This window comes from Homo sapiens, chromosome 3, assembly GCF_000001405.40.
Source record: "Homo sapiens chromosome 3, GRCh38.p14 Primary Assembly".
Classification (NCBI taxonomy): domain Eukaryota; kingdom Metazoa; phylum Chordata; class Mammalia; order Primates; family Hominidae; genus Homo; species Homo sapiens.
Genome location: NC_000003.12, coordinates 86218491 through 86235460, shown reverse-complemented (window position 1 = coordinate 86235460; position 16970 = coordinate 86218491). Strand labels below are relative to the sequence as shown.

The 16970-nt window shown below is 31.0% G+C and overlaps 1 long non-coding RNA gene and 1 pseudogene across 2 annotated transcripts in view; one reads left to right on the top strand and one right to left on the bottom strand.

Annotated features, from left to right (window-relative positions):
• The window catches only part of LOC102723364 (uncharacterized), a 62178-nt gene that overhangs the window by 31929 nt on the left and 13279 nt on the right, over nt 1-16970 (top strand). For both annotated transcript variants that reach the window (NR_188545.1, NR_188544.1), the window contains one exon: nt 12639-12757. This is a non-coding gene — a long non-coding RNA (uncharacterized LOC102723364). The remainder of the gene's footprint in view (nt 1-12638; nt 12758-16970) is intronic.
• Nucleotides 37-140, bottom strand: RNU6-1129P (RNA, U6 small nuclear 1129, pseudogene; annotated as a pseudogene).

Sequence of the window (16970 nt, the reverse complement as noted above, 5' to 3'; positions counted from 1 at the left end):
TATCTATCTACTCCTTTAATAAATTTTAAATATATAAAACATACAGGATGCTTCATGAATTTGCATGTCATCTTTGCAGAGGGGCCATACTAATCTTTGTGTCATTCTAATTTTAATATATGTACTGTTGAAGTGAGCAGTAGGCCTCTTTTTTTGTGAGAGGAAATACTCCTTCTTTAGAAAATTTGCTTTTTTGTAATATTGAGATTTCAATAATATTGACTAAAACTTATTGCCTATGAAAACCTTTTAAATTGAATCCTAGAATTGATGAGATATAAACTTGGTGAGGCCATCATCTGTACGAAACATTATAATAAATACTAAAATTACAAGAGACATTTGATGAAAAGAAGAGCCCAGTAGCAGCAATAAAGATGACATCATAGACAAACAGATCTGCAGAAAAGCTGTCAACAGCAACAATGGAAGCCAGAAGACAGTAGAGTGATTTCTTCAGAATGACAGAAAAAACAGCTATCAACCTAGATTCACTGGCACAACAAAACTATCTACTAATACTGAAAGTAAAATAATGATATTTTGCAATGAAGTAGGCTTGATTTTACTACTAATATTTCCTACCCAAAGAAATTTCTAAATGATATATTTCAGGAAGAAAAAGAAATCCCGAACGGTCTGTGTTGCAAGAAATAATACTGAAAAAAAAAGTAGTATAGTAAAGACGTGAAAATACAGGGGTTTGAGGTGAACATGAAAATGCTATCTACAAACCTAGAGGCCTAGAGCAGATTCTTCCCCAACAGCCCTCAGAAGGAAACAGCTTGCTGACACCTGGTTTCAGACTTCTAAGTTCTGATTGTGAGATAAGAGATTTATGTTGCTTAAGCCACGAAAAAATATATAAATGTATGAAAATCAAAATGTTATTTTTATACAATGATAAAAGTAATATAAAATATGTTTAGCTAAAAGGAAGGAACTAAAATCATGAAATCTAGTCTGTTTGTGAAACAGACTAGGGTTGATCAGGTTGAAAGAGTTCTAAGGTCTTTTAATCATTCATGTGGTGACTGAGGTCAATATTAGAGAATGAATTGAAAATAAGAGCCAGAACTCAAAACTTTCATGGTTTACAAAGTAAAAATCAATGAAAAATAATGGAAAAAAAGAAATGTTTCAGTTGATATATAAAAGGAAACAAAGGAGGAAATCAGGTCATAAAAAGGTAGAAAAAGCAAAAAACCCTAAATAAAATAGAGGTAAGTCAAAATGTGTCAAGCATCAAAATGACTATAATTGTCAATTAAACAAAAGCATAGATTGTGGAAAATCAAACAACATTTCACAATACTGTTTACGAGCAGTATACAGAAAACATAGAGACCATAAAAATTGTTTAAATACAGATTAGAACAAGAAACCCAAGTGGATATATTAATATCAGAAAATAAGACTTTAGGACAAATACATACAAAGGAAGGTGAGGTGCAGGTCACTACATAATGATAAATGTTCAATTAAATGGAACCCTATGGCAGTTCTATATTTGTTTACAGCTATTAAAATAGCAGTGTTAGGATTAGGTAAAGCCATGTGTTCTAAAATTGAAATAGTAATGGCTAAGTAGTTTATTTTCCTCTTATTTATCTAAAGTAGAACAGCTAGGACTATCCAGTGCTGGTGAGAGAATTTTGCGCCTCAATTCCTCAGGGATTAGACTTCTTCTACCTCATTTGTTGGTCACACTTAGGTATAGCTTTCATCATCATGGTCCAAGAAGGTAGAATTTCGTGTCCTATGCTGTAAACTAGAAGGGACCATAAAGAAGACAAAAGGTCTCTGCCAAGTATCTTTTAACAACTTTCAGAAGATACCATATTACACTACTTATATTCCATTAGCCATTAGCTGTATCTTAGTGATAACATCATGTATAGGTGCAAAGGAGGCTGGCAATGGTAATCTGTACAGCTCCTATAATATTGAAGTAGAGAACAGGCTGGGCAAGGGGGTACAACCAGCAGCCTCTGCTTAAATAATCTCAAAATATATAAAGCAAAGGTTGATAGAGCTGCAGGGAAAAACAAAACCGCTACCATAGTGAAAGATTTCAACTTTCCTCTTTCAAACATTGAGAAGCTAAAATCACAAAAATATTAGTATGTATATAATACTATATATACAGTATTATATATATATAATTATCTAGCATGGTAGTTATATATATTTGTATATAATAATTATCATGCTAGATTAAAAGATATATATATATGTAGCACTCTGAAACTCTCGAAAAATGTGTTTCCTCAAGAATAAAGTACACTCACAAAGTTGTTCAAATACTAGGTCATGAATGCGATAGATATTAACAAAATTTCAAAAAGTCTGTGTCAATTAGATCATGAATAAAATTTAAATGAATTATGTAGTAATTAAATTTATCAATAATGTAAATGCATATACTTAGAATTTGTGTCTTCTAAATATTAATATTTAATAGATCAAAAAGTCTATAGAAATTTTTAAATAATTATATATATGTGTAAATGCATACACTTAGAAATTGTCTTCTAAATATTAATATTGAATAGATCAAAAAGAAAGAGAAATTTTTAAATAAGTATATGTGTGTGTGTGTGTTTCAGGCCTTCCTTGATAAACAAAGTGAAAACAGTTCTTCTGCTATTTTAAAAAAATGGAAATTCTTAGAAATTCAATGATATCACAATTTAAAAAAATGAAGCTCAAATATTCCTGAAAACAAACCGACTGAATCAGTTTTTTAAAATATTCAAAAAAGTGAATTCTTGGACCAAAATGTTTTCTCAACAAATTATAACCTTATTTAAGTCTTACATAAATTTTACTAAATAACTAAAATGAAGGAATATGATGCAAGTCATTATGTGAAGTTAGTGTAACCTTGTTATCAATGCCAGAAAAGGATATAATGAGAAGGGTAAACTAAAGATCAATTCTCCTTCTAAATATAGATGCAAAAATTCCAAACAAAATTTTAGTTAACTGAATCCAGCAGTGCATGAAAATGTACTACATCTTGTCTATGCTTGGTTTATTACAGAATTGCAACGGTGCTTCCTAACTAAATTTTTTTAAAAAAGGAAGTACATTATCATATTAAGAGACCAAAGAAATAATTAATTTAATAAATGCAGGTTTATTTAATTCTTAATTCAGTTTTTAAAAATAGAGACAGGGCCTCACTCTCCCACCCAGGCTGGAGTGCAGTGGCACTATCATAGCTCACTGCAGCCTCCAAACCCTAGTCTCAAGTGATCCTCCTGCCCCAGTCTCCCAGATAGCCAGGATTACAGGAATCCACCACTGTGCCTGGGTTATTTTTTGAAATTCTTTGTAGACATATCCAATACAGTAAGACATGAGAAATAAATAAAGTTTATATGGATTAAAATAAAAGAAATAAAATCCTCATTATGCAGAGATTATATGGTTGCAAAGAAAATCTGAAATAATATTCATTAAAATTATTGGCATAAAAACAGATATTAAGAAAGTTGCTAAATGTAATAGTAATGTAAAAATATTGATTGCATTTCTGGAGAACTAAAATAATACTTGGAAAATGAATTCTAAAGAAAAATATTGGACTTCACTCACCATGGTAGTTACAATGTCATCTCTGGATAACCTAAATTATAGTAATGTATGATTGCAAAAATTTAAAATTGATTGTAAGACATTTAAGAAGACACAAATAAAAATATATAGTGTTTGTGGATGGCAAGGGCCTATGAAGTCACGTCTCTCCAAATTTACTATAGGTTCAATGAAATTACTCACACATTTTCAGCAGATGTTTGTAAAACTTTTTGGAATTGCAAGGCGCAGGATCAGCCAAGAGACCCCCGAGGAAGAGAAGCAAGTTTAAGGCATCTTCTTTTATCAACTATCAGGATGTTTTAAAAGACGAAAATATTTAAATTAATATTGTGTTAGATTAGGAACAGACAAAACAGCTCCAAAATAAATCAATAACTCCATGAATTAAAGGTCATTTAACATATTATAGAAGAATCACTGCAATCATTAATAAATGATTGTTGAAAAAGAGACTGTTTAATTAGTGACACTGAGACAATTGATTAGACATTAAAAAGAAAAACACGAAACAAGAAAAAAAAGAAAATAAAATTGGGTCCCTAGCTCACAAGTTCCACAGCAATCTACTTCAAATAATAATAATAGTAATAATAATAATAAAACCTTTAAAAGATGAGATAAAAGAATTTCTTATTGGCTTTGGGGTAAAAATAATATCCCACAACATTAAGTATTTACTAATTGAACCATATTAAAATTTAAACATATGTTCACCAAAAAACTCTTTAAAGTGTGAAAAAGGAAAACAAAAACTTGGAGAAGATATTTGCAGCACATATAGTTGAAAAGGTATTATTATCCAGTATATTTTTCAATATACAAAACATTATGTTTTATAGAATGTCTCTAAACAAGAACCAAACAAGAAAACCAAAAGAATAAATGCTGACACTGCATTACTAATTAGGTATATGCAAAGTAAGAGTATAATGAAGAGTTTCTATTCATAAGACTGCCAATATTTAACAATTCCACACACGATGGAAATAGAAAACTATGTATACTGCTAGTTGGATAAATTACTTAAGAAACAAATGTCATTGTTTTATAAAGTCATACATGTAAATTCTTAAGCTAGCAACTGCACTTATAGGATTAGATAAATTTATGCAAATTTGCACTAGAAAACACCTACCAGAATATTTACAGCAGCATCATTTGCATTAGCAAAAAATTGGAAAAAAGCCCAAAGTATTGGAAAACACAAATAAACATAACACATTGTAAGATATTGGCATTAAGTAAAAAAAAGTCATAGCAATAACATGGATGAAACTTAAGAATGTTGAATAATTAAATATAAAATAAAAGTATCAAAACTACATAAAGTATGAAAATACTTTTAAAGCTCAAAAGAAGTAAAATTAATAATACATTGTATAAGAATGCATACGTATAGTAAATACATACATAAAGCAATACAAATAAAATTCTGAATTTAAAAAATTTCAGATTAGTTTCAACTACAATGAGGCATGGCAATGAAATGGGAAATCAGTAATGATTTTGATTGTATTAATATCTATTTTTATTATGTGTTGTAATTTATAAATTTGTTACATATATTTTTGTTTCAAATAGTGCATAATTGTTCTAGAATGAGCAAATGCAAAATACTGCTGATGCCAATTACAGCTACTTGTATTTTTTGGTAAAAATGACAGAACTTAATTACCAAGGTGTAGTTACAAAATCATAACTATTTTAATGTTTTTCTTTACTGTGCCATCAATAACTGATGATAGTTCATCTACTTTGTGTGAATTAAAATAAAGACTTTAGTTAAAATTAATAATACACTTACATAAAGGAAAAAAAGAGAGTGCATGAGGGCTTTGAAATTAAATTTTAGATTCAAATTATATTTCCTGAGTTAATATCCCATGTCATTTGATCGAAGTCTGGCTATCAAGTTAGAAGCAAGAAGAATGCTTCTTTCCAAACAAAAATTTCCTGAGTGTCAGCAAAATGTCCAAACCATCTATTTCACATCGATGTGCTTTTTAAAACTTTCCTCTTCAAATCAAGGGCACTTCTTTGTTCCAGATTTAAGAAGCAGATGAAATATATTCTAATAGATTCATATCATAAATCTCTAGTGTCTAAGTAGACCTAAAGAAACATCTATCTGTCCTGATCAGTATCTCCAGAGGCTATTATATTCCCATTTAAAAAAAAAAAAATGTCATCTGTGTGGAGCCCAGCTCAGTCTCCAGCTTGTCAGTTCAAGAATATTAGAATAGTTTTTCAGTTTTGCTCATTAAGATGTATATCTTTTATGCTTCATGATAAGCATTAATATTCAAAAAATCCAGGAAAAATGCCATACGGCAAGTGCTTAAGCTAGAGACTACTACTATGCCAAACATTTGGAGCTCCCCAATTACTACTGGACCCTATTTTTGTCTGGCAACTGCTGTGTTATAAAACAAGTGCCATTTTGAGGCTCAAGTCAGCAGCGTCAATCTAACTGCTAGTTCAAGATGACTTTGTAGCCCTCAAGGATTGCAAGATGTGGATGATTGCTCCTTAGAGGAATAACTGTTGACAGGTCTGGTGAAACAACTCATGAATGATGAACTGAGAAAGCATCCAACTGTTCATGCAGACCTGTAAATGTGCCATATCGCAACCTCAGAAAGGATTACAGCAATTTCCCCACGTCTTATTATTTGCCTCTGACCAGGAATGACAGAGATGCACAGACATCACTAGGCATATCCTGGATATATATCACACATTCTGATCCCTTAACTTCTTTGTATTAAGCAAAGGTATCAAACTCTTAAAACTATTACATATTGAACACACATCTATTGCCTTTGTTGTAAGATTAATGATTCAAAACAACTCTAGCAATGTGTAAAATGAAGGAAAGACTCACCAAGAGTTCACCAATGCACTTCAGCTTCTGTCCCCAAGGCTAGTAGCATGTGCAATGACTTTGATTAGAACCAACCAACCAATGACAACATTTTTAATCAATCTGATGCTTTATGAATTTATGTAAATATAAGCACACAATAGGCATGTTTTGAGTAGCTTTAGTTGTGGAAAAACGTTTACATAGTTTACATATCAATCTAAGAAGAATATAGACTGAAAAAAGAAGCATAATTTATTTCTCTGCTGTTAGTGCTCTCATTCTGGTAGCAATAGCTATAGTATTTACAAAAGGGACAATATTTATTTATGGTTTTATAAAAAGTTATTTCAGCAATTGAAAAAAAGGGTTAGTATACTTACAAGGAATAGAGTGATATACTATTTGACACAGAGATGCCATTCTGTGATGTGCCTGATACAAACACCACTTTAAACTGCTCACATTTGCTCAAGTATCACAACATACACTTTAAAGTAGCAGTTTAAAATTTAGCAGTTGAATAATACAATCAGTATATAAGCAAGATTTTATTTTCCTTACCACCCTACATATTGTGTCATCCATCTCATTTATTTTGTATTTACTGGTGACCTCCTTGTTAGCCACTAATGAGCTACGTTATCACAGCCTGTATCCCTCATTGCCTTCTACTTCTCATGTACTTTGTCTTCTCTGCTTCCCAGGAAAGATACTCTGCGGCCCTTGCATTTACCAGCTGCTTTGTTCCTTTATGTCCCTTTGTTCCTCGCTAAATTCATTTGACATCTTTCTTTTATTAAAAATTTCAAATAAAGAACCAGTTCTACATTTGAACAATATTTGAATTGTCAAAAGACCTAAGCTGTAAAAAGAAAACCGTTGTCTACTGAAGAGATTTTGTTTGTGTACTAATTTATCTAGTAATAAATCTTTATAATATCAGTATTTTGTTAAAAGAAACTCTGCTAAGGAGGAAAAAATAGTCTGTGATACCTAAATATGTTTCTTGTCATCTAATCCATTAAACTTATGCTTTGTATCTAAATGAAATTTTTGATTGTTGTTTTCACTTTTCTATATTATTTCAATTGAAATATTATTTCAATATTTTCTAACCAGAAATAACTAATTTAGCATTTAAATGAAGACCTAGTCTCCAGGACGATGAGGTAACCAAACAAGAATTGCACTATTGCGGCTCTGGAGGGAGTAATTGAAATGATCTGCTTTCATTTTGTTTTTATTATTTACTGTAGTTTAAAACTAAGGGGAAGGACAATTTTGCTCTATTGATCTATTGGTTGCTTGATGGTGGTTTTGATGAATATAATTAATTAATATTGATCTTACATTGTTATAAAACTTTTTTCAGCAGCTGTTATGTGAGAATGCATATTTAGTTATGTTCAAAGTACACTTGAAAACAAAAAGTAACAAATAACTTAAAAGTATGGAACATTGAGAAACTTGTTATAGAGATTATTTTTACTTATTTTCAAAAGGAGCCATAATCCTTATGTATTACTTAATCCCTTGGATGAAAAATAAAAATGTGAAGCAAATATCTGTCTGATCCACTTGCCAATTTGAGAGCAATATTGGATCATACACATTTGAAAATCAAAGGTCCTGGTAGAGACATAAAACATCATTTCCTAAAGAAAATACTTCTTAAATGTCAGCTTCTAGGTTACTTTTTAAGAAATTTCCACTCTTCCCTGATATCCTATTTTGACATGACCTTCTAAGGAAACAGGTTGTTCATACTAAGTAAATTTACTAGAAAGTAATTTACAATGAAAATATAAAGGTCTCGATAGCTTTATATGTGGACTATGCTCTAACATCTCCACTTAGAAATCCATGTTAATCAACATTTATTAAATATGTATTTGCCAGTAGATTATAATTTGTGATATATTTACGAATTAAAAGTGATGAGTCTTTGCTCAATCACCGTTTATGTATTCAGTTGGTTAACTGAGAGTACCCATTTATAGAAATAATACATTAATCAAAAATGCTTTCCTCTCTAACTTTCTAAGCTTGGTATTGTTTATGCTTCTAGGAGACACAAAGTGCTAAATTAAATAACTTGTATTACCTATAGTATTCTTATATCTGTTACAATAACAATGACCTATGAATGCATGCAATTAAAATAAAGTATGTTGATTTTATTTTAGTTTAGTAATTGAGAAATTTTGTAAACTTTTGTAAAATTACTTAGTACATGTAATAAACATAAAACTGAAAACATAAATAAACTGTGATCATCTCTTTGCTTGTGACAATTAAGTGGGTCATAATAACTAATTTATTATGACCATAACCCTTTTATCTGTAAAAGGAACAGAGTTTATTTAAAGAAAACTCTTTTAATGTTTGAATGTGGGAAAATGTATATCCCTTTAAATTTGACAAAGTGTGCTTAAAATGAACATGAATGTTGGAGACAGAGAAACATTTTATTAAATCTTGAATTTGCTAATTACATAAAATGTAACTGTGGGTCAAAGTGTGAGTCATAACATCATCTTACTCTAAAAAAGTAGTCAAAATATGTGGTATAGATTATTATGGGAATTATATGAAAAAAGTTATATAATAACACAGGCAGTGTCTAGGTATCTCAACAAATATTAGCAAAGTTTCTGCTTCCTTTATTAAAACTGCAGATAAACATTAGACTATTTTCCCCATTTTTTTCTCAAAAAGTTTTGCTAAATACACATAACCAAATTTACTAAGATACAATTTTTATGTGTACAATTAAGTAGCATTAAATATATTCACATTATTGTGCAACTATGACCCCATGAATCTCAAAACTTTTACATCATTCCAAATTGTAATTCTTCCCATTAAACAGTAACTTATCTCCCTACAATCCCTGGTAAACACTATGCGATTTTCTGTTTCTATGAATTTGATTATTCTATACATCTTATATAAGTGGAATAATAAACATTTGTCTTTTTATGTTTGGCATATTTTTCTTAAAATAACATTTGAAAGGTTCACTCATGTTGTAGGATGTATTAGAATTTAATTCTTTTAAAAAGCTCAATAATATTCCATTGTATGTCCTTACCATCTCTTGTTTATCCATTCATTTATGTGTAGATATTTGGGTTGTTTCCATCTTTTGAGTATTATGAAAAATGCTGCTATAAACATGGGTATACAAACATTTGTTGGAGACCTTGCTTTAAATTATTTTGGATGTTTACCTAGAAGTGAAATTGCTGAATCATACTGTAATTCCAGGTTTAATCTTTGGAAAAAACACCATATGATTTTTCACAGCAGTTTCACCACTTTAAAATCCCACCAACAATGTGCAAACATTCCAGTATTTCCACATCCTTGCCAACATATTTTTCTGTTTGTATAATAGCCATTCCAATCGGTATTAAGTAGTATCTCACTATGCTTTTGATTGGCATTTCCCTAATAACTCGTGACATTAATTAGTGATGTGTGTCTTTTTATGTGTTTATTGGCCATTCGTATATCTCCTTTGGAGAAATCTATGTTTAAGTCTTTTGCCTATTTTCAATTGTGTTGTTTATTTTATTTTTGGTTGTTGAGTTTTAGGAGTTATTTATATAGTCTAGATATTAATCTGTTTTCAAATTTATTGTACACAAATATTTTCTTTTTTCGTGAGTTGCCTTTTCACTCTTATTATTATTATGGGTTTTGTGCCTGATGGTACAAAAGCTTTTCATTTTGATGAAGTCTGTCTTATTCTTGTCTCTTCTTTGTTGCCTGTGCTTTTGATCCCATATCCAATAAATCAATTGCCAAATCCATCATCATGAAGATTTTACCTTATATATTCTTCTAATAGTTTTGAGTTAAACCTCTTGTTTAGGTTTTTGCTCCATTTTGAGTTAATTTTTTATATAGTATAAGGTAAGTGTTCAACTTCATTATTTTCCACATGGAAATCCAGGTCCCCCAGAACCATTTTTTGACAACGCTATGTTTTCCCCTTTGAATTGTCTTGAAAGATCATTTGACCATATATATAAGAGTTTATTTCTTGGCTTTCTATTCTATTCTGTTGGTCTATGTTTATCTTTATGCAAATACTACATTGTTTTGATTTTGCAGATTTAAAGTAAGTTTTAGAATTAAGGCATGAGAGTCTTCCAAATGTTCTTTTTTATTCCTAAGATTGTATTTGATTATTTAAATTTATATGAGATTCCATATGAATTTTAGGATAGCGTTTTTTCTATTTCAGCAAAACTAAATTTGGATTTTGAAAGGGGTTGCATTGATTTGTAGATCACTTTGGGTAGTATTGGCATCTTAACAATATTAATTTTTTCAGTCTATGAACACAAAACATCTTTCCATGTATTCATGGTTTAAAAAAATTCTTTCAGCAATATTTTGTAGTTCACAATGTACCAATCGTTTACCTTCTTGTCTAAGTACATTCCTGAGTTTTATTCTTTTTGATGCTATTGTAAATGTAATTGTTTTCTTAATCTCCTTTATGAATTGTTTATTGTTAATGTATAGAAATACACCTGATGTTTATGTATTCACTTAATATCCTGCAACTTTGCTGAATTTATGTGTTAGTTTCAGTAGGTTTTTTTGTGAAATTATTAGGGCTATATATATATATATATATATATATATATATATACATGCTATAAACATGGGTATACAAACATTTGTTGGAGACCTTGCTTTAAATTATTTTGGATGTTTACGTAGAAGTGAAATTGCTGAATCATACGGTAATTCCAGGCTTAATCTTTGGAAAAAACACCATATGATTTTTCACAGCAGTTTCACCACTTTAAAATCCCACCAACAATGTGCAAACGTTCCAGTTCATATATATATATATACATATATATATAAGTATATATATATATGGTTACATCACCTGTCAGCATAGATAATTTTACTTCTTCCTGTCCAATTTGGATGTCTTTTATTTCTTTTCCTTGTTTAATTGGTCTGGCTAGACCTTCCAATACTAGATTATATAGAAATGAAGAAAGCAGACATTCTTGTATTATTCTTGGTAGTAGAGTAAAAGCTGTCAGTCCTTCACCATGGTGTATGTTATTAGCTGTGGGCTTTTCTCATGTATAACATTTATTATGTTAAGAAGAAATTCTGCTGAATTTGGTTTGTTAATATTTTGCTGAAGATGTCTCCATCGATATTTATAAGAGATATTGGTCTGTGGTTGTTCTTGTTTGTTTGGTGTCCTCATCTGGCTTTGGTACCAGTGTAATTCATAAAATGAATTAGAAAGTATTCCCTCCTCTTCAGTTTTTTTAGAAGGGTATGAGAAGGGTTGTTGTTAATTGTTCTTGAGATATTTCATAAAATTCACTGAAGCTATCTGATCCAGGGCTCTTTCTAAGGAAAGTTCTGATTACTGATTCAATCTAGTTACTAGTTATAAGTCTATTCCTATTTTCTATTTCTTTATATATACTTTTATGAATAATTTGTTTAGCTAGTAAACGAAGTAAGCTATGAATCCAGGCAAACCAAACTTTGCTTCTAGAAAATTTGCCTTCTGCTTTATGTACTTTTGTATTAGAACCACAGCAAGGGAATATATTTTTATGTGACTACTCTGTGACAAGGACTACTAAAAATGTTATATGCATTATTTCATTTGAGTCATCATGTTTATTATTATTCTTCTATATTATATATATCCTATATGCTCTTCTAAATTTATCACACACTTGCTATGTGTCTTCAAAGACATATAATTCTTTGAAACCTCATTATTTTAAATTAGAAATGTGTCTATTTGCACCATATTTGATTATTTTAGAGATTTAAAGACAGTATATTTCAAAACTTCTAGCACAATCTCTAATAAATAACAAATTTGGTTATAGTTATTTCCTCTTGTTTTCTTTATATTTTAAAAGACAAAACAAGATTTAAAATATCTAAAACCTAAAAGTAAATAAGTAGTGAGTGACAGCTTTATTTTCCTTTCATTTCAGTAGTTGACCTCCTACATATATCTAATAAGTATTTCTAAAATGAAAGGAATAAACATTCACTTAAACATAAGAACTACATTTTAAATATTCAGCATTTTTGTCTCTCAATTTTTTATAGACATAACAGTACATGCATTTGCTTTTTTCTTATTTTTTAGAGATGGAGTCTTCCTATGTTGCCCAGTCTGAACTTGAACTCGTGAACTCAAGCAATCATCCTACCTCAGCCTTCCAAGCAGCTGGGAATAAAAAAGTCCACCACCACGTCTCGCAGCAGGTGCCTTTTTTTAAGATTTTATGTTTCTTGAATAGCTACATATATCAATTAATCCTTATTTTAAATGGTTCCTTCATGAGAGGAAACTTTAAAAAATAGCATTTAAAATATATTATTGAAGTTCATTTTTACTCAATTATATGAATTCTGTGGAAAGTCTTTTATCATTGTGACACTCATGGCTTAATTTTTCTCTAACATAAAATAAATTCAGAATGCTAAATAATAATTTGATTTTAGCTATTTAGTCTTTTAATGCATGCTCTACTTGGAGGTTAAACTGAAATTTTAGAATAGTGGAGAGTTCATGAGGGTTATTTTTTCTTTCAGAGTAAAAGGGAACAAATTGTGTTTAAAAGAAACAAAAAAAAAGTCAGTCATGGTATAAAAGTGCCCCAAAGATTAACTACAAATAAATTATAAAAGTAAAGGGATAAGTTTGCAGTATATAAAGTAATGTTATTACTTAAAAAATCGTGGACATATAGGTTACCTTAAGAGACTTACCTTAGATTATTAGATGAATGTAATATTTTTAAATGCTAATGACAAAAATAAAGCAGGCACACACGACACTGGAAATTATTCAAGAGAGTGAATGGAATTTGCTCTCTCAACACATGCTTAAATTGTGTAGAGCAATGCCTTCATTATCTTCCTTGACTGCAATTTTATTTTCTCTGTGTGTGCTTAAGAGACTCCTGTACCCCTGTGTTCAAAATATGAGCTAGTCAGATAATTCCCAACCATCAGTGCAAATGAGACCAAGGTAGGATTGAATAATTTTACAGATCATATGAGTATCTCATTCTTGTAAACCTCATCAAGTTCTCTTACTAAAACATTTGGCCCTCACAACCGCATCCATGTTGCTACAAAGGACATGCTTTTGTTCCTTTTCATGGCTGCATAGTATTCCAAGATGTACATGTACCATATTTTTTCTATGAAATTCATCGTGCATGGTAACAGTGCATTTAAAATAAGGGAGAGGGTAAATTTAAAGTCCTGAGTAGCAGAATGTTGGCTTTAGTGTATATTTGCTACTTGTTTATTATAAAAACATCTATATCTCTTGTAAACCATTATGCGTATCTGTTGTAAAATAATTTATAAAGTTTATATGTCATAAAATAATTTATTTCAAGTCTGTATGACTAAAATTATTAAATAGCAAGGTTATTAACATTTTTGATAGTGTAACTCTGATGTCAGTCATCCCACATCCAATGCCCTCACTGACATTTGCAAAGTGCTAAGATCTTATGTATTTCTTTCACTCAACTACAGTGTAAATTCCAACTTTGGCTAGACTTTGATTCTCCAATTCACATGTTTTAAGTTACTTTAGACTTTTTCTGATCTTCACACTGCACGTTTATTTTTCTTTTGATTTTTATTTTAGGTCCGGATGTATTTGTGCAGGATTGTTATATCGATAAATTGCATGTTACTGAGATTTGTTGTATACATGATCCCATCACCCACGGAGTGGGCATAGTACCAAATAGTTAGTTTTTCAACCCTTGCCCTCCTTTCATCCTCCCCCATCTGGTAGTCCCCAGTGCCTGTTCTCATCTTTGTGTCTATGTGTACTCAATATTTTGTTCCCATTTATAAGTGAGAACAGGTAGTACTTGGTTTTCTGTTCCTGCAGTAATTTGCTTAGATTATGGCCTCCAGCTGCATCTGTGTTGTTACAAAAGACATGATTTTCTTCTCTTTTTTGGCTGCATAGTATTCTATTATGTACCTATACCACATTTTCTTTATCTAGTCCACCATTGATGGACATCTAGGTTGATTCCATATCTTTGCTATTGTGAATAATGCGGCAATTAGCATATGTGTGCATGTGTCTTTTGGTATGATAATTTGTTTTTCTTTGGGTATATAACCACTAGTGAGATTGCTGGTTCTTTTTTAAGATCTTTGATAAATCTCCAAATTGCGTTCCACAATAGTTGAACTAATTTACTTCTCACTAACAGTGGATACATGTTCCATTTTCTCCACAACCTCTCCAACATCTATTATTTTTTGACTTTTTAATAAGTGCCTTTCTGACTAGTACACTACACATTTTAGATCTGCATGATATATTTCATACCTGTTCATCAAAAATGTGTTTACTAAGGTTCAAAAAACTTATTTGATTTGTATATTATACAAGCACTATTCAGAGAGTCAATACATATTTTAATAGGAGGCAAAGGCTAAAATAATGCTCTGCCATCCATTCTTCCTGCTCCTCTTCAAAAGCCTTCACACTATGGTAAACCTATAACAAGAGAAATAAAATATTTTCTATACTTATCTTTAATTGAGTATTTGAGGGTTCCCAAGAAATATGCGTATGCATTTAGAGTTTGTACCCACACTTCCCCCGCATTTGGTTAGTGGCTATGACCACAGGCACATCCTCAGAATAATCCTTCTTGACATTCTGAAAATCATATGCAGATAAGAAAGATTATAAATTCAACCACCTCTATCATATAATGTCATGACAACACACACATTTAATGAATAGCCTCAAAATGAATGGCTAAATTTCATGCCCCCACAGTCCTGTGTGAAAGAATAAGGAATTAATTCCTCTAAGAGGGAGCTAAACCTCCAAGGCACATTTCAAAGCCACTTTCAATGACCATAATTTGTGAGATTCCTTCAGTTATGAATAAATAACAATAGCTTCCCATTTCCAAAGTCAAATCTTGATGTTTTTAATTCTTCTACCCCACCCTCCCAAAAAGACAGAAATACTGAATCGATGAAATGTGTAAAATTTTAAAACTCAGAACTTTGCTACACACTCTGTTTTCCTCTGTGAAATATTTATTCCATACATAAAAGTTTTCTTGTGAGATTTAAATATACTGAAACAATTATTTACAAAGGAAATACCTACTAACAATAAATTACCATCCATGAATGCTTCCTATTCTTAGTGATACTACTTGTAATATCTAGAATTATTGTATATTTTCTAGAAATACAATATTCTGTATAATATCTAGAAATATTGTATCAGTAAATCATCATACAGCTCTCTTATGCCAGGCTTATAGATAATACAATTTTTAGCTCCTCTACCAACAGAATTAATTGGTATATATTTATCTAAAAATAAGAATCTCCTTGTCATAAGATGGCAAATTTCAGCTTGTGTTATGTGGTATCTACATACCTAGTTGGGACTTGAATTATTGTGCTACTATGGTAGACTGTGAAGGCTAAACATGTACCTCTTTACTCAATTTTACTTACATTAAAGACCCTTAAAAGGCAAATAAAAAATCTAATTATAACCATAATACAAATGGTTATACAAATACAATATGTGAAATCTTTTCACATATTCTTCTATATGTGAAGTTTCTAGAGCTCCTGGACTCATTGGTTCTCAAAATATAGTGTGCACTAAAATCACTGTAGGAGCTTAGATGTAGGCCCCTCTCTCCAGAGATCAAATCAGCAGGCCAATGATAAGGCCCAGGACACTTCGTGGTCAAAGAGATTTGTTGGATGATTCTGGTGTCGAGACTCTGAGACTCAACAATTCTGGGATATAAAACTTCAGGTTCAGGATCCAGAGAAACCTGGGAAAAATTATTTAGAGATAATACTTTGATCTTTCTTTCATTATAGTTCAGTCTTACATAATATTTTGCATAAAATCAAAGATAATTGATCATGAACCTTAAGTTAAACTCAATAAAAATATAGATACTTCAAACAAGTGTTATGTAGAAGGTTGGCTTGCAAAAACTAAGTGGGTTATGCCTCTGAATAATATGGATGCTTTGAAGCAAAGAAGAAGAGGAGGAAGAAAAGGAAGAAGCAACCTCAGAAGAATCATCATTAGATGTGAACGTAGCCATGGAAATCTCCACTAGGGATAATGACATAAAATAGATGTCGAAATTAAACAAAAGCAACAATTAAAAAAGGAGCAGGCCGGGCTAGGTGGCTCACGCCTGTAATCCCAGCACTTTGAGAGACCAAGGCAGGCAGATCACGAGTTCAGGAGATTAAGACTATCCTGGCTAACATGGAGGAAACCCGTCTCTACTAAAAATACAAAAAATTAGCCGGGCGTGGTGGTGGGTACCTGTAGTCCCAGCTACTTGGGAGGCTGAGGCAGGAGAATGAAGTGAATACAGGAGGCGGAGCTTGGAGTGAGCCGAGATCGTGCCACTGCACTCCAACC